This window comes from Homo sapiens, chromosome 2 (assembly GCF_000001405.40).
Source record: "Homo sapiens chromosome 2, GRCh38.p14 Primary Assembly".
Lineage (NCBI taxonomy): Eukaryota > Metazoa > Chordata > Mammalia > Primates > Hominidae > Homo > Homo sapiens.
The window spans coordinates 3451572-3469135 of record NC_000002.12 but is presented as its reverse complement, the minus strand read 5'-3'; the positions used below and the strand labels follow the sequence as shown (position 1 = coordinate 3469135).

The 17564-nt window shown below is 52.4% G+C and overlaps 1 protein-coding gene across 14 annotated transcripts in view, besides 2 other annotated features; it reads right to left on the bottom strand.

Moving 5' to 3' along the window:
• The window catches only part of TRAPPC12 (trafficking protein particle complex subunit 12), a 99872-nt gene that overhangs the window by 10430 nt on the left and 71878 nt on the right, over positions 1-17564 (bottom strand). For 7 of the 14 annotated variants that reach the window (XR_426956.4, NM_016030.6, XM_011510350.3 and 4 more), the window contains 3 exons: positions 11443-11515; positions 8800-8873; positions 3441-3539 (listed from right to left, as the gene is read on the bottom strand). Coding sequence is in view for 11 of the 14 variants with exons in the window: in NM_016030.6 (NP_057114.5) it covers positions 3441-3539; positions 8800-8873; positions 11443-11515 (246 nt within the window). In the remaining 3 variants the exon portion in view is untranslated. The other 7 variants (XM_011510352.3, XM_047444639.1, XM_047444638.1 and 4 more) reach the window with 5 other exon arrangements.
• Positions 7581-8448: an enhancer, noted in NCBI's record as "H3K27ac-H3K4me1 hESC enhancer chr2:3464459-3465326 (GRCh37/hg19 assembly coordinates)". NCBI's record gives its function as "activates a minimal SCP1, AML or CMV promoter by ChIP-STARR-seq in naive H9 embryonic stem cells {active_cell/tissue: H9 hESC(naive)}" and the evidence as "EXISTENCE:reporter gene assay evidence [ECO:0000049][PMID:30033119]".
• Positions 8801-9314: an enhancer, noted in NCBI's record as "H3K4me1 hESC enhancer chr2:3463593-3464106 (GRCh37/hg19 assembly coordinates)". NCBI's record gives its function as "activates a minimal SCP1, AML or CMV promoter by ChIP-STARR-seq in primed H9 embryonic stem cells {active_cell/tissue: H9 hESC(primed)}" and the evidence as "EXISTENCE:reporter gene assay evidence [ECO:0000049][PMID:30033119]".

Below are 17564 nucleotides of genomic sequence, written 5' to 3'. Positions count from 1 at the left end.
TGAGGGCTGTTTCTCCAAGAATCTAACCGTGGCTGAACACTCTGAGTTTAAAGTAGGCATTGAGCGCTACGTCCCTTCGGAACAGAGCTCTCTGCTGGCTTTTACGTGTTCATTCCATTTGAGTTCTTTCTCCTTAAAACAGAGCGCAGTCAATTCTGTCTACATTTAGTTCAGGCGTTTCTGCTGGACTCGAGTCCCCGTTCAACCCCATCTTGTCCTGCACCACTGACCTCTCATCGACTGCAATCTGACTCCGTGTGGCGTCCTCCATCCCGTGCTGAGATGCGGCATTGGGGGTGAGCAGGGTGCGCCAGCAGGAGCTCTGAGGCTGGCGCGTGGGGTGTGAGTGTCCGGATACGTGCGTGGGGACACGGCTTTTGCCCCTTCCTACAGCCCATCCTGGAGGGCCTCGTGCCCACGTGTGCACTGGAGTCACTCTATGGGGTGGCTGCCCCGCCGTGGGAGTGGGGCTTCCAAGGGCAATTCTGAGCACACGTACTTTTGCTGAGACCTGGGAATGCCGCCCTTACACTTGGATCTGTGAGGAACGGAACAAACACAACCCATCCTCAAGACATAGGAAAGACAGCAAGTTACGCTTACAGCGCTCCTGGCATGTCCCAGGCAGGACACAGAGGATTTCACATGGATAAACTTTATCATCTACACACGACGATGATGACTGCTCACGGCAGGCGGTTGTATGGGGGGACTGACACCATGAAGGTGAGATAAACTGCTCAGAGCCACGCCAGCCTGAGCAGCTGGACCAGGGTCGGGGTCTGTCTTGTTCCAAACCCCAGCTCCTGAGCCCTGTGCTTTTATCCCCCGTAGATGCCTTGGGGAAGAGGGAAGGGAGAGCTTGCTGAGAGGGCTGGGGTGACTTTAGAGAAGTCCTTCCAGTGAGCCCTCAAGAATGGGCAGGGTTTGCACAAGCAGAAAGAGAAGGGAGTTCTGAGCAGCAGGAACAGCCCACGAGAGGTCAAAGCAGCAAGTGTGGTCCCGTTTGGGCAACAGCAAATCAACTGTCTGGTGGGACTAAGGACATGAGGCGAAGAACACTGGGCTGGAAAAGGTTAGCTAGGGCTCTGAATGTGAGCTTTAAGTGTGGGCTCACCTGACAGGCCACAAGGCCCTAGCAGGACCTCTGACCAGAGACGGCAGGGTGGAGTGTACTCCCGGAAGGCTAATGGCAGCTACGCGCAGGACGGGGGACGAGGGACGTGCTGAGATCTCTGGCAGCTCAGCACCACGTGTACACACAGGGTCCCGCCTCTGCAACCCTCTGCTGAACCCAGCGGAGATGAGGAGAGGTCCCAACACAGGAGAGGTCTGGAGAGGGCGGGTCCAGGTGCACCCAGGAGTGTTTCAGAACTGGGTGGGGGTCTGCTGTGTGCTCGGGCATCCACTGGGCTGATATGTGGTCGTTCTTGCTGATCACAACGGTGCTCTCGGGCCTTGACTCCCACAAATGGCTGTGTTCTTCAAGGGCAAAACCTGCCTGCTTCATCCTTCTTCCCAGATCCAGCATCTTCAGACAACACACTGACCTGCCCAAGCCGGAACTTACTGGGGCTGGGTTTTCTGTATGTGCAGATGGCAATGCAGTCGTCAGCTGCGCGAGGCTGTCTGAGAAGTTCTGTAGCAGCCACGTCACAACGTCTTCAGAGATATCCCAAATAGCTAGGTATTGCAATCTCCATTTCCTTTAGAAAAACAGAATTCAGAGACCTTGCTCTTCAGCAACAGTAAAAATACCCATGAGCGAGGCCTGATAAATAATTTGCAAGAGATGCAGATCGAGGCACTTGTGTGGGGCGTCGGTGAGTCCAGTCGGCCTGGGTGCTTCCGTCTTTTTCTCCATTCTCCTTTGGCAAAAGCTCTTGCCCACAGCGCCGCTATCACCTCCCCGTGTCCTCAGAAAAGCGAACACCGAGGGCTTCCCTTGCAGCCTGGTTAGCACATTCTGTGCGCCAGATGGGGCTTAAATCACACTGTGGAAGCTGAGCCTCCCTCCTGAGACTCCAGCCTCATTGCCAGAGCCCTCGCTGTGGTCAAGCCAGTGGCTCCCCCTGGAAGGAGAAGCACTTCCAGACGCAAAAGCAATTCAGCATCTACTTCTCAAATTGTGCAAAATATGACTCTGAAATAAAATTTCCGAGATTGTCTCCAGGGTAGTGAGGAATCTGAGCAGGCCCAGCGTACTATTTTACTATGATAACCAGGGGATAATGTTACACATGAGGCAGCCTGGAGATCCTGGCCACACAGAGCTTTCTCACACAGGTAACGAGGGTTGCTGCAAGCATCCCAGTGCAGGCAGGAGCCGATGCCCATGGTGGCAGCTCACGCGTCACGCATCTGTGCCTGCCTGGGGTTATTCAGTGACAGTCATCTGCTGTGCCCCACCACAGGGGCCCATGGACAGGGCTGTCCTCCAACACTATCTGGTGTCCCATGTGGACTTCCACAAGCAGGCGGCGTGCAGGAGATGGTGTGTGCACGTGTGCCTACGTGTGTCAGTGCATGTGTGAGCAACTGTGTGGAGGGGGAGAGGACCAGCTGTTAGCTGAGAGTGCAGGCCCTGAGTTCACAGAGGCCCTGTTCAAATTCTAGCTTCCCCATTATCTATGTGGCCTCCTGTAGCTGGATATCACTTAACCAGGAGACCTCAGTTTGCTGATCTGTAAAACAAGCCAGTCACACCGTGAGGTGAAATGCTCAGCGCAGGGCCTGGCTCACCGTGAGTGGGTGCCTGTGGAAGGTCTGTGCTGCTTCTCCCCGCTCAGCCATCCCTTGCTCGTGCCTCCTTTCCCTGGCCCAGGTTTGGGACGTGACCTAAGACTGAGGGTGAGAGGGGCAGAAGCTGCCCTGTGCTCCGCCTGCAAGGGTGGGATTGACAGGGATGTGGGCGGGACTCATCACTCCCTGTGACCTCCCTGTCACCAAATATTCCAGGAAAATGCATTCCAGCTTCAAGGACATTCTTAGCAAAGGGGGTCCTGCCGAGCTTTGTGCATTACTGAGACCACTGTTCAGTCTGGACTTTGTCTGTCCAGCAAACATGATTCAAGGGTTATTTCAGGCAAAATATCAGCGAGTGACTATTACGGGATAAGCTGAACTGAGATTCCTCACGGTTTAGTCAGTGCTTTCGTAACTGCAGCAGGACAATGTCTAGAGTAACTCATTTCAGTGTGGCTGTGATGACACTTTCTGTGGGTTCACATTTAGCAACAGGCACAAAAGCCAGCAGGGCCTCCCACAGTCAAACCAGAACTCCTGGAAAGAACCCACCCTTTTCATGGTCACATACATTTGAATTGGAATATTTTCTGCAGTCTTTCTTATATTAAAATGATTAAAAGCAAACAGTCGCCCATCTGAGCAAAGAACTATCATAAGGCCTTTCTGGCTCATGTCTGACCGTGCACAGGTACCTGCAGGGAAATCCGGCCGATGCCGCTGAGCAGCTGGGGCTCTTGCTCTGGGTAATACTTGATAACCGAATGATACGCCTCCACGGCCAGCACATAATCCTGTGGGAAGAAAAACCCAACGTACTTTAGAGCTGAGAACAGCACTGTGGGTTTCACACGTGTAGAAGAGCACAAGTGTATACAGACGCGGTGTAGAGAGAGGACACGCTGACGCAGGAGCTGGCGGGGAAGCTGGAAACCAGCACGCGGTGCTCGGCTGCCAGGGGGCGGCTGCTCTCCCGACTGCAGTCGGGCCGGGATTCTGAGCTGTGCGCATCGCAACGGCGGGGTCCTGCCTGTCACCGGGGGCTGTCGCGGTTTAGTTGGGCCTGAGGGTCTGTTTCCTGCTTCCATCTTCTAAACAGCGATTCATATTTCACTTGGACTGCACCTAACTCTCTTTCCTGACAAAGTTATCATGTGAGTTGGCGAACGCTGTCTCATCTCCATCCTCCAAATACATAGGCCAAATTTTTAAAGTGTCTCTTAAACGTTTTCTATGCTAGAAATTAAGGTCAAACCTTTACATGTAAAGAAAAACCACAAAACAAGTTTGCTGAGGCTGAGTATGTGATGGAGGTCGGCCTTGCAGAGTGCGTGAATGTCGTGTGCTCCGTGCGGCACGCATGAGACCTTCCCGTTTTAGAGACAGCTACGGGGGAACATGTAGGAGCGCTGTGCCAGCTGCCGTGCTCAGGGCATCTGGTTTCTGCCAAAGGCCTTTGCTGGATTCCTCATCGCTCTGCCCTGCCTGTGGTGGTCTGGCCCGTGGCCCCTCCTCAAGGGCAAGGCCTGGCAGCACAGTCTCACTGTCCATCTGCCCACTCATGCCGGCCCATCACAGCCACTTGCTGGACGCTGAGCGGACCCAGTCACCCTTTCCAGGTGTGAGCAACGCGGTCTCCGTGCAGGAAGGTCTTGCCAAAGTCACGTGGGACACAGTGGTAGCTTGTCTCAAGTCCCCAGCAAACCCGGGCTCTCTCCAGGATGACAGTGATCGCCGCATTTATTGAGCGAGCTGTGTGCGGCAGGCCCTGCACTAAATGCTCCCCTGCATTCTCGCACTTAGCTATAAGCACGCGGTCAGCAGTAACTATGGCCACCAATGGTGTTTTTCTTCTTACTTACTCATCGTATAATCCCAGAGGTACTTTTATTTCTTTATTCTTCTACATGTTCCATTTCCTCCAAACTGGGACTGGAGTTACTGGCTTGCTAATTGGGATGTTACAAAGAAAGACAGACAAGTACAATTCCAGTTTGGTAGGAAGGAAAAAACAAAAAAAACCCAAAACGACTCTCTCCAGTCTAGTACCTTCGAGTACAGCTCATTAAAACTAATTTTATTCAAGGCCTGACGCCCATGACGAGCCAGACAGCACATGCCTCGGTCTCCTTTCCCACGCCTTCCTGCTGCCTGTCTCTGCTGTCTAGCTGTGCGAGTGCGAGCATGTGTGTGTAAGCGTGTGTGAGCATTGTGTATGAGTGTGAGCGTGTGTGTGAGCATGTGTGTGTGTGGACGTGTGTGTGTGAGCTCCCTCACACAGGGGAGGGCTTTGTGACCTGGCATGGGGGCACTCGGGGCGGCTGAGGTTGCAGCTGGGACGGACATGGCACCCCAGATGCAGCTGTGGGGCCTGCACACCCTGGGCTGGCCCTGATCTGAGAAGTTTAGGGGAGCAGCCCTGCTTTCCAACAGAGGCTGCACTCACCAGCTTGCACCAGCTCGGGGAAAAGTAGCAGCTGCCCCCCTAGGCTTCTCTGGGGAAGGAAGTAGGCTTCCGAGCACCCATCATGCTGGGCAATGTCTGTTCTAATCCCACACATGTCCCACCTTTGGTTTCAAGTAAACAAAAGGCAGGCTTTGACTTTCTTGTTATCAGCCCGGCAGTGTCACTGGGTCATTCCAGTGCCCCACTCACGCCACTGATGCTCCAGGCTGAGGCGGCCACCACAGAGAGCGCAGGGTGGGGGCGTGGTGGGGGCGCAGCACTCACTGCTAGTGGGCGATGCCGTGGCCAGCCGCATCACCCTAACCGCTCTTTCAGTGCTCAGGGCCAGGGGTCAGTGTTTCTGAAGATAATCTAGTATGACAAAAGACAGGTTTTTACGAAACCAAGCCATGCTCTTTGATGGGAAGTTACTTTAGGCATGGCTCTTCCCAAAGAGCACGTGCACAGGCCTGGGAGCCGTGTGAGAGGAAGCTGGATTCCAGGCCGGGGGCAGGCGCGGCAGAGAAGGGATCTCGGGGGCCCCTGCACCCGCCGGCAGCCACTCCCACCAGCTCAGCAACAGTAGCGCTCGCCAGTCCCTCAGGTGTGAACATGACACGTGTCTGTGTGTCCGGGCTGCAGTTGGGGGAAGAATTCTGGGGCACTTCAGGGGGCCCATCGTCAATACAGCAGATGAGGATTTGGGATTGTGTTACAAAGTTTCCTTAGGTTGACGGTTACTTAATGACTTTATTTACTGAAGAGGAAACAGCCCTTCACAGGTAAAATGGCCAAAAGAAGCTCCTCAAGAGAGCTTAACCTACTCTCCAGATCCTGTGGATTTGGCTTTTGTAAAGGACATGAATGACTTACTTCCAGGGACAAGTCTATTTTAGCTCAATCTTCACCATTTCTTTTCAGCAGCCACACGTGTTTACAGGCCGTGAAACTAGATTTACAACCATTCTGCAACCAGCAAGGACTTCTGCAGTCTAATTTCAGCAAGACGGAAGGTAGCTGATGCAGCTGCGTGCTCCTTTCCATCATGTGCGGAGCCACGGCGGGTTCTGATGTGCATACTGGCGAGCTGTGGGGACACCAGGAGGGAAGTGGCCTCCCAGGGGCACCCGGGGGAGGGGGGGCCCAAGCCACCTAAGGTGGCAGGCACCTGCATCCATATGGTCTGCCAGTGCAGGTGCCCTAAGGCTACAGTGAGGCCTAAGGAGAGGAAGAAGTATTTAAAAAGTGAAGATAGTGACATTTTCAATGCTTTATAATACATGCCACTGTGCATTATAGCATATCATGCAGATTTATCCAGGGCTAAAACGTATGAATACATTTCATTGCTAAGAAGTTAAATTGGTATTTATTTCACTGTAATAAAAATGTTATTCAAGATAATTAAATGGCTGATTAAATAACTCATTGTTAGCCCATATACATAATTTAATTAACAGGATACCCCATATTATTAAGATCACACACTGTTGCAATACCCTGTATGCTCACTAGATGGCAAGAGAGTGCATATGCTTGGCTTGGCTTTAATTGCAACATTTTTGCCTCCTTTTTTTAACTCATGAAAATGAAAGCTTAAGCTGAACTTTCAAATTAAATCATGTCCATTGTAAAAGTATTTTTGAAATGCAATAATATGTTCTGTACTGAGTCCCAGCAATACAGGAAGAAGACTCACATTCGGAGCCTGGTGGTGGTGTTACTACCACAGTGCCACAAAGAAAAGCCCATTCCGTCGTTTTCTATTAATGTGTCTTAAAATGCAAATGAAAGCCCGCCAGTGGAACAGGGAACTTTCCTCCCTGGGGAGTTTTAGCCCCATGATTAGTGAAACGTCAGTCCTGTGAATTTATAATTGATTCTTCATGTCTTTGCATAAGAATGTTCCGGCAAGCTGGTGACTTTCAGGTGACGCTGACAATGCCCTCAGCAGGTGGAGGCCTACTGCGGACCGCCCAGACCGCCAGGTGGGGGTGTCAGGGCTGGCCACAGGCAGCACAGGGAGAATGGCCTGTTTTGGGAGGCAGAGGGGTCAGGCCGGGTGCTTCGGGGTCACCTGGTTGCTGGCCAAGCCTTGGGTGGTGAAGAGGCCACCAGGGCAGGGGAGCAGGAGGGCCTACTTTTCACTCCCACTCAGAGGTGGGCAAGCCCTGCTGCAGAAGCCAGAGGGGGCTGGAGAAGGGAAGGGGGCGGGTGGGAGGAGGGTGAGGACCAGAACAAAGCACCTGTGCGGGCCACCTGACCTCAGTGGGACTATCTCAGGAGTGGCAGCGGAAGAAAAACCTGCTCTGAGCAAAACCACAGAACTTGAAAACCGTAATTTCCTTTATCCAGTGTGTTGAAGGAGAGGAGAGAGCTGTGTGAATGTCAGAGCTGGGAGGGATTTCAGAGATCTCAGATCTATGCCCTTATTTTAAGGAGGAGGCTGAGGCTTGCAGTAGTGCGAGGCTGCGTCACGGTCGCTTGCTACCGAGGATGAACAGGACGCCGAGTCTCCTTGTGCGTCCAGCCTGACGTAGACGCAGAAGCGCAAAGGCAGCGGCCCCGCACTGGGCACTGGGGCTGCGCTAAAGCCGGGGTGCGGGCTGCACGTCTTCCTGATGGAATGCCTGAGCCACTGATGGCTGTGAATCTATACCCGCACCCAGCCTGCTCGGAGCAGTGCCCGGGGTCACAGTCACCTCTGGGGATGCTGCAGGGTCCGTGCATAAAGCAGGGCTGCCACTTCAGGGTTCATGACAGAGCCCGTGAGCACAGTTCTCCGCTGGTAAATTGCCTGCTCTGCCTTGCTGAAAATCAAGCTCAGGAATGACCTTGGCCCCATGAAAGCCGCATGGGTGTGGGAGTTAAGGTCGCTGTCTTCGAACAGCCCAGGAGGTGTTACGAGCACTGCTCCGGAGCGCCTGCTGCTAGCTGATTCCTGCAGTAGCTCTCAGTACGCACAGCTGGCTGCAGGGACACTAGCTCCACACAGGGCACCCTGATGCCCAGTGTGGGAGGTGAGCCAGGTGTGGGGTGCGTTCCAAACAAAGAGAGGAGCCAAAAAACACCGTTGCACAGGCTGGCGAGAGCCAGGAGACACGGAAAAACAGATGACAGCCTCAGTTCAGCTCCTTGATTTCTAAGCTGTTTCCCTGCGGGCTGAGAGCTCTGGGGTGACGTCCTAAGAAGGTCTTGTGGGGAAGCCTGTCTTCAGGTGTTGTAAGCATCAATCATAAAATCAAAACCATGAGGTGAAAAAAACACCCTCCACGAAGATAGGGAGAACAAAGGACACCTTCTGGGGATGGAGTTCAGAGAAAAATGGGGGAAAATGAACAATACTTTTAATTAAATCATTTAGACCCACATTTCAATAATGAAATCTGATCATCTAAATTCTACATTCTGTTGAAATTTCTTGCAGTAGAAATAAAGTACATATAGCCCCATAATGTGTCACTGGGCTCCCTGTTAAGCCAGTACTTAGCTGGCTTCTCTGCACGGCCGGTCCCTGCCAGCATCTATTATACCAGCGGCTCCCTCGCGGCTCCCACTGACCCCGCTCTTCCAGATCACATGGCAGCCCTGCTTGGCCACCCACGTACCTTCATCAGGAGCAGACAGTTTGCCATGGAGTACATCACCCGGCCCAGACGTGACCTCCACAGCCGGATAGAGGCTACAAGGTAAGAGCAGCCTGTAAGTGCACAAATAAATTCGAGGCTCTTTCTAGCCCTCAATTACTGGGTCCTGTGAATTCTAATTTAACTTTAAAAGATCCCTCTTGTTAACACCACTGGATTTCGGCCTGGAATGCTGAATATGCTGCAGGCTGCACTGAGGCAGAAAATACAGCACTCGCATTGGGACCAGAGGTGGCTTTGGGAAGAGACCCTCGGCATCAGAGAACCAGGAGGGTGGCTGCTCAGCATCAGCCCAGACACAAGGCCAAATGGTCCGACCGGGGGCCCCGTTTCCAAAGCCAGAACCCTGAGAAAAGGAGCAAAGCTGACAGAAACGACGACATTGCCTGCAGCTCGACAAGGCTGGGAGGGCCACTGGCCAGGGTGGCCGCCAGCCTCTCGCAGTTGACCTATGGGAGGCCACCCGGAGGGCCCCACCCATGCCCAGCCATGAGGCCTCCCCTGCCTCCCGACCATGGGCTGGTGCAGACGCCGGTTCCCCCAAGGAGTGCTACACCGTGTTCCAGAACTCAAGTGGCTGGCACATTCCGCTGGGGACTCGGCACTCCCCTGCAGCTGGCTTCCTTCCCTAGCACCTGCTGCCACACGGTGGCTGACCGCGACCCTGAGCCTGGCCCGTCCCTCCCTGCTCTCCCCTGCACATTATTTAGTTAGCAGCCATCCCTCCACTGATTTCAAACCTTCAGGGCCCATCTCTTCTAGTAGTTTCCAAACTGGCTTTGTGGCCTTCTTGGGGTCTGCAAAGGTCCCCTGGGAGCTGCCCTGGGGGGAGGGTGGGCTGACCAATGGTGCCTGTTTATCATTGGGATGACCAGGAGGAAGGCGCAGGTTGAGGACTGAGCTAATCTGAAATGAACATATTATTGACAGGCAGGCTGAGGTCCACAGAGGCCAGGGACGCTTCCATCTGACCCCTTGTCCAGCGCTCCTTGCGCCTGTGCTGTGTCTACTTCCTCGAAGAAAAGTCCACACTTCCAACTGCAAAGTGCCAAGATGCCACCCTGGGCAGCACCAGGCCCTGGGAGTGCTCCTGGCCTCCCTCATCGCTGGGCACTGGGAGCCGTGTGTCCCTGGCTGCCTCTGAGGCTGTGATTTAGGAGGCTGAAGCTGACCCACCGCTGGCACCAAGCGTCCACTGTGAGATAACAATCACCTAGAAATGATGTGCATTTACGGTGTGCTTCAGGAGAACACACAGAAACTTAATTGCTAGAATTAAAAACTTAACTCACTTTGCCTTTCAGCAATGAAAAACACATTAGCTGCTTATGTTCCCCTTATACCATTATTTTTGTGAAAAGAAATTCTGAATATCTTCTCTTAATGGATGTAAAATATGGATTGTCTCAATGAATTGCATATTTATTCTGATGATCTTTGCAGATTCCTTTCCTGCTCTAAATCCTCCCCTACCCTCCTTATAAATGCTCATGGGTGTGACCTTCTGTTAGATTTCCAGGAACAGCCTTCTGCTCTCTGATAACTACATGCTCATTCCCACCAAAGCAGGAGCCCAACCAGGGGTAAAATGACTGGTTGCCAAGAATGCTGAATGGGACATCCATGAGCAGACAGTGCCGTCTCTCCTTCAGACCTTGTTACTCTACCTGCAATTAAATTACTGAAAAGAGAGTGCACAAGTGCACACACATGCACACACCACACCCACACCACATGCCACAGCATGCACACCCAACATCCACACACCACACACATACACACCTCACACACGTTCAGCTCACACCAGCCAGCAGTTCCCCAGAAACCCCAGCACACCTGCGGAAACGGAGACCACCCGATCTTGACTTGGGCTGCACATCGAGTAGGACAGAAGCTGTGGGAAGGAGGAGATGACCAGGCCACCAGGCCTGTGGGGAGATGCTGCCACAAGGAGTGAGGGAGTGAGGCTAGGGTGGGGCTACCTGGGAGGGAGCACTCAGGCCAGGTTTCCAAGCATGATCGGAAGCTTGCTCCTGGCTAACGCACTCCCCGAGCTGCAGCTGGCATGGCCTCACTGTGCAGATCAGCTCATGTCAACCCACCCAGTCCCCCAAGGGGTTTCCAATGCTCCAGGGAACTGCCCAGGTCCCTCAGCCTGCCCCAGGCTCTGGGCCTTCCTCTCCAGCTCCTCCTGAAGCACCCTCCCGAGCCTCTGTCCCCGACGCAGAGGCCTCTGTCCCCGACGCAGAGGCCTCTCTCCCCGACGCAGAGGCCCCTCTGGGCCCCTTCGGCTGGGCTGGGCTCCTTCCTCGCGCCCACTCAGACCACTCAGCGTGGCAGGTTCCGGGCCGTGTGCTTTTGTGGTGAAGGCGTGTCTTCTCCCCGGGCGCAGGGTTCGGGTCTGAGGCTGCACGTTGCACCCACAGCATCACCCAGTGATGTGCTTGGCTTCCCCAAGAAAGGAGTGAGTTGCAAATGCACGAGTGGACACGTGCAGTGCTGACTACAGAAAGGAAAGGAGAAGGAGAGGAAGCGAGAGGCTTTGGGCTCAGTCTGTCAGTGATGTCCGAGAAGCATCTAGTCAGCAAAGTCCGGCCGACCCACCTTGTCTGCCCTCCTGAGTCACGCTGCTCATGCCGCCGTCTTCTGCTAAGCCTTGCTCCAAATTGGCCAGGATCTGCAATCATTCCAAATGAGAAGGACAAAATCATGGGAACCAATTTTTGTCTAAGACTTTGTTATAATATAATCTCAGTACAGCAAATTTCTCTGGATGAAAACAATTTGTCAAGGGATGTTCACACATACTTTTAAAAAATATTAAAACATTTGATATTTTATTTATTTTAAATTGCAACTTTATTTTAGATTCAGGAGGTATGTGTGCAGGTTACCTGGGTATACTGGGTGATGCTGAGGTTGGGGTACGATTGAAGCCATCACCCAGGTAGTCAGCATGGGACCCAACAGATCATTTTTCAGCTCTTCCTCCCATCCCACCCTCCCCCCACTGGTAGTCTCTGGTCTATTTTTTGTCCATGTGAATCCAATGTTTAGCTTCTACTTACATGTGAAAACATTCACTATTTGGTTTTCTGTTTCTGTGTTAATTCACTTAGGATAATGGCCTCCAGCTGTATCCATGTTGCTGCAAACAACATGATTTGGTTCTTTTTTTACGGCTGCGTAGTATTCCACAGTGTATGTGCACCATCTTTTCCTTATCCCGTTCGCCCACAGGGACACACTGTAAACATCACCAAGTCCCTATGGCGTGGGGCGACAGTGAATGGGGAGGGACTCTGCTCCCAGCTGATGGTGAAAGTGGTGTTTATGATGTTCTTGAAGTATCTGCAGACATCATACATGGGGAATATGTTTTTTAAGAAAAGCATCAAGCCTGTAATCCCAACACTTCTGGGATTGAGCGGTGGCTCAAGCCTGTAATCCCAACACCTTGGGAGGCCGAGGCAGGTGGGTCACTTGAGCCCAGGAGTTAGAGACCAGCTGGGGCAACATGGCAAAACCCCATCTCTACAAAAATACAAAACATTAGCTGGGCATGGTGGTGTGCGCCTGTGGTCCCAGCTACCTGGGAGGCTGAGGTGGGAGGATCACCTGAGCCTGGGAGGTCAAGGCTGCAGTGACCAGGGACTGCACCACTGCACTCCAGGCTGGGTGACAGAATGAGACCCTGTCTTTAAAAAAAAAGCATGGAGAATGTCACATGAGACTGATGATGACCTTTTGTGAAGATGTCAGTCTCATTCCTACAGGGCACCGTGCTTCTGGCCTTTTTAACGTACCAAATACGTTTTGTGCAACGTGTCGCTTCCCGGTTTTACCACTTGCTTTTTAACTTTTGGGCACTTTTTTTTGTGTTTTCTTCTCTGAAAGCAAAGCTGCTGTAGCCGCTGTGATCTGGGTAGAGAATTTAGATCGTCTTGCCAGTTAACACTCCCCACACGGCCCACCCCAGGAGGTGAGGATTTCCGCTGGTCCGACTCCCCGGTCTCTACCTGCTGAGGATGAAAGCAGCCTCTCCTCACCTGCAAGGGACACTACTTAACAGAAACTGGAGAACAATTTGCTGCCAACACAAAGGATGTTTCCTCTTAACCGTTATCTTGGGCTACCTCGATGACTCAGGGGACAAGGTGGGGTTCAAAATTGTAACCTTGAAAAGAATCTAGCCAGTTTAAACTAGGTAAAACGACATTCTTCAGTGAATCTGCCTTCTAATGAATGATCATAAGAACAGAAACTGACAAAAAGGAAAGGCTTGGTGTTACCATGAAATTAACTTCCCTCACCCCTTGTCCACAGTTGGTGGGAATGTACATCAGTGCAACCACTAGGGAGAACAGTTTGAGGTTTCTACAAAAAAACAAAAAATAGAGCTACCATACAACGCAGCAATCCATGCCTAGATATATACTCCAAAGAAAAGAAAGGAAATCAGTCTATCAGAGATCACTGCACACCCGTGTGTGCTGCAGCACTGTTCACAACAGCCAAGACTTGGAAGCAACCTAAGTGTCCATCAGCAGACAAGGGGATAAAGGAATTGCCATATATACACGATGGAGTACTCTTCGGCCATAAAAAAGAATGGTATCCTGTCATTTACAACAGCATGGATGGAACTGGAGGTCACTGTGTTAAGTGACATACGCCAGGCACAGAAAGACAAACATCGTATGTTCTCACTTATCTGTGGGAGCTAAACTTTAAACAACTGAACTCATGGAGATGGAGAGCAGGAGGATGGTTACCAGAGGCTGGGAACAGTAGTGGGGGATGGAGTGGGGATGGTAATGGGTACAAAAAAAAAATAGAACAAATAAGACCTAGTGTTTGCTAGTACAAGGGTGACTACAGTAATTTAAGTGTACGTTAAAAAAATAACTAAGGGAGCATAATTGGATTGTTGCAACACAAAGGATCAATGCTTGAGGGGATGGATACTCCATTTACCCTGATGGGATTATTACGCATTGCCTGCCTGTATCAAAATATCTCCTATAACCCATAAACACCTACTATGTATCTACAAAAATTAAAATTTATTAAAAAAAGGAAACTGACTTCCCTTAGGCTAGTGTAGAGGGAGCACAGGAAGAAAGAGGGACGGGACACCTATCACAGAGGCAAAGCCGCTGCCCGAACCAGACCTGACAGCGCCCTGGTCAGCGGAGCCTCGAACACGCCCACTGGCGGTCCCCGGGGTGTGGCGCACCAGGTCAGCAGACTCCTGAGCTTGTTCTGCGCCTCCGCACACCACGGGAGCCCTACGGGCCTGGGTGACCTCCTCACGTGGCGGGGTCTAGGGGTCTGGGCAAATCCTCTATGCGGCGAGGTCTCTGTGGGTCTGGGCCATCTCTCCATGCCATGGGCGATCTCTCCACGTGCTGAGTGGAGGAGAAAACCCTGCAGAAACACCCCAGACCTCTGTAGTGAGCACGCAAGGCCTGAGAGAAGACCCGCACCACAGGGCCATGGTGGTCTCAGCACAAGCTGCGCTGGGGCTGACGTTCCCTGTGGACTATCACGGCCAATGAGGGGAGAAGGGGGAATGAGGTCCTTCAGAAGGGCAGCAGGAAGAGAAAGGTCTAGAAAAAAGGAAACAGAGTTTCCCACCCCAATGATGCATAAATGCAGAAACAGAGGCTCCATCTTAGCAGAGGCATCAAACGCAGAGCATGTGAGTGACGGGAGCTCCACCTGCAGCAGCTGCTTTTGGCCCAGACCCACCTACCCAGCTGGGAAGGCGCAGGGGTAGGAGACGGAGACACCAGGCAGGCTACACCCCTCCAGACCCATCTACCCAGCTGGGAAGGTGCAGGGGTAGGAGACGGAGACACCAGGCAGGCTACACCCCTCCAGACCCACCTACCCAGCTGGGAAGGCGCAGGGGTAGGACATGGAGACACCAGGCAGGCTACACCCCTCCAGACCCACCTACCCAGCTGGGAAGGCGCAGGGGTAGGACATGGAGACACCAGGCAGGCTACACCCCTCCAGACCCACCTACCCAGCTGGGAGGGCACACAGGTAGGACACGGAGACACCAGGCAGGCTACACCCCTCCCTCTGCAAAAAGCACTCTCCTGGCTGGGGCAGAGGGACACACAAAACGACGCCAAGTGCCTGCAGGGATCTGGGTCACTGAGGTGCTTCAGCCCGAGAAGGGGACAGCTGGAGAAAGCCCCTATTGTTGACAGGAACATAGGCATATCAGACACAACCTTCTGACCCTCAGTGACTATTGTTTTATTTGTAGGGTGTGTCATTTAATGTCAATTGATAGGTCCCAGTGTGATGCAGAAGAGCATCCATGAGTGAAAGGAAAAGAAACAGCAGTTCACAGTTGGTAGCTTTTATTGCTGTCTATCTAGAGACAGTTGTCTGGCTTTATAAAGTAACAGTACATTAATTTACAAAAGGTTATTTCTATAAAGGAAAGTGACAGACACGTTCTCAATCCAAAGACTGAATTATTTAGGAAATGCAGTTATTGCAAAAAAAGCCCGACAGTGTGTCGTTTGCAAATGTGGTGCGGCTGGAATTTCCTCCTTGGTTCCTTTTGCCCCAGACAAAAGGAGCAGACTCCAGGGTCTATATCAGAGACCAATCAGCAGTCCCGTGTTTGTGTCCCAGAAGAATAAAGGCCCAGCACGCCACACCCGGTTCGTTTGGGAAGAGGCTCTGAGGAGTAGGGGCATGATCCAAATCACTGCACCCACACCCTCCCTGCTGGAAGCTGCTGAGGGCCCAGGCGAGGGCATAGGAGGAAGAGGACAGAGATGAGGCAACAGTGCCAAGTGCTTCAGGAAGATGCACAGAGCAGTAAGCGACCAGCCACAGGGGCAGAAGGACTGTGGAGGGCAGAGTGACCACAGGGGCCGAGGGGCAGAAAGGGCCGGGTGTTGGAGGCACCTTCCTGCACATTCCCTGGGAGCTGTTCCCGACGGGTTGAAGCTGGGTCAGGAGCTCCATGGAGCTGTCTGGTCAGGCGCCGGCAGTGTGGGTGGTGCTTAGCGCCTGCTGGGAAGTACCGGGGACGATGTATTTTACAGATGGGGGCGCAGGATGGTTTTTAAGCACAAACAGTATTCTGTTTGATTTCACAAAAATAAACCTGTGGAGGAGGCAGCATCATGTCCATTTGCAGGGGCCCTTCACGCTTTCCACACACAGAGCAAAGTGCCGCAGTGACAAGAACAGGGATGTCCGGTGCCAGAAGACGTGGGTTCAAGTTCAGGCTGACCTTCAGCGTACCTTCAGTGTACCTTTTCTGAATTCCTATTTCCTTAGCTTCCCATTTTTTCACATGCCTGTTTTACAAATCATGGAACTCCAATGAGAATGTACTTGAAGCATTTTGTAAGCTTTAAAGATGCTGAATGGATATTAATTACAAATAAGAGGAGAAGCAACCAGAAATTAAACAATTCCACTGCCTCGGATTTTCCCTGTGGTTTCTCTTTCACCATCATCCCTGTACTAAACTGTGAAAGGTTTCGATATGTGGGATCGGGGAGCAATGAAATTAATGCTGCACTGACTATTAAATATTAAGTGGGTCTTTGAAACGTCCAGGAGCTTCCACAGCTCTGAGGTTTGGCTGCTGGGCAGTTTCAAGGTGCCTGGAGGTTGAAGGGAAGTCCTCTCGGAGCCCATGGGCCTCCCAGTACAAGCCGCATCCTGGCAGGGTTAAGTGCGGCTCACAACCACCAGGACGGGCTGGAGTGGAGGCAGGGGAGCCTGTCCTGCAGGGCCAGGAGAGGCCTGTGGATCCTGAAGTGGAACAGACCCAGCTGACCGGCCACAGTGTGGCAGTTTAAATGCGGCCATGCATTCCTGAGCACTCCTCAAAAGGCAGAGTCTCATTCCCATCCCTTGCGTGTGGCCTGGACTTAGTGACTCGTCTGACAAAAAGAACCAGGTGGAGGGGACATAGAGACCTCTGAGACCCGGCCGTGCAAGGCACTGTGGCTTCCTCCTCCTCCCTCCCTCTCTGCAGGGAGCCAGCTGCTATGCTGTGAGACGCACAAGAAGCCCTACAGAAAGAACCATGAGGCCAGGAACCCAGCCTCTCACCAACAGCAGCAGAACTCAGCGGGTGTATGACGGAGCCTCCCGGAGCCCAGTTCTCCAGCCCCAGCTGAGCCCTCAGGTGAGACACTGCGGTCACCATCTTAACTGCAACCTCAGGACAGACCTGAGCCAGTGCGACCCAGAAGCTGTGCTGGACTCGAGACCCACAGAAATAGGAAGGTCATACATCCCTGTGGTTTTAGCCCACAGAGCTGCAGATAATCTGTTAGGCAGCAACTGATGGTCAACACACAGGCAAATCCAAGTTACCCAGCACTTTCAACTGAAGGCTTTGCATGAGGAATAGTGTATTGAGGCCACTGTACTGAAACATGTTGGAGGGTTAGTTTTGTTTAATTTGAAAATTCTGGGCTGGACATGGTGGCTCACGCTTATAGTCAGCTGTAGCACTTTGGGAAGCTGAGGTGGGAGAACTGCTTGAGTCCAGGAGTTCAAGACCAGCCTGGGCAACAGAGTGAGACCCTATCTCTACAAAAAGTTTAAAAATTAGCCAGGCTTGGTGGTGCATGCCTGTAGTCCCAGCTACTCAGGAGGGCGAGGCAGAAGAATTGCTTGAACCGGGGAGGTCAAGGCTGCAGTGAGCCACGTTCATGCCACTGTACTCC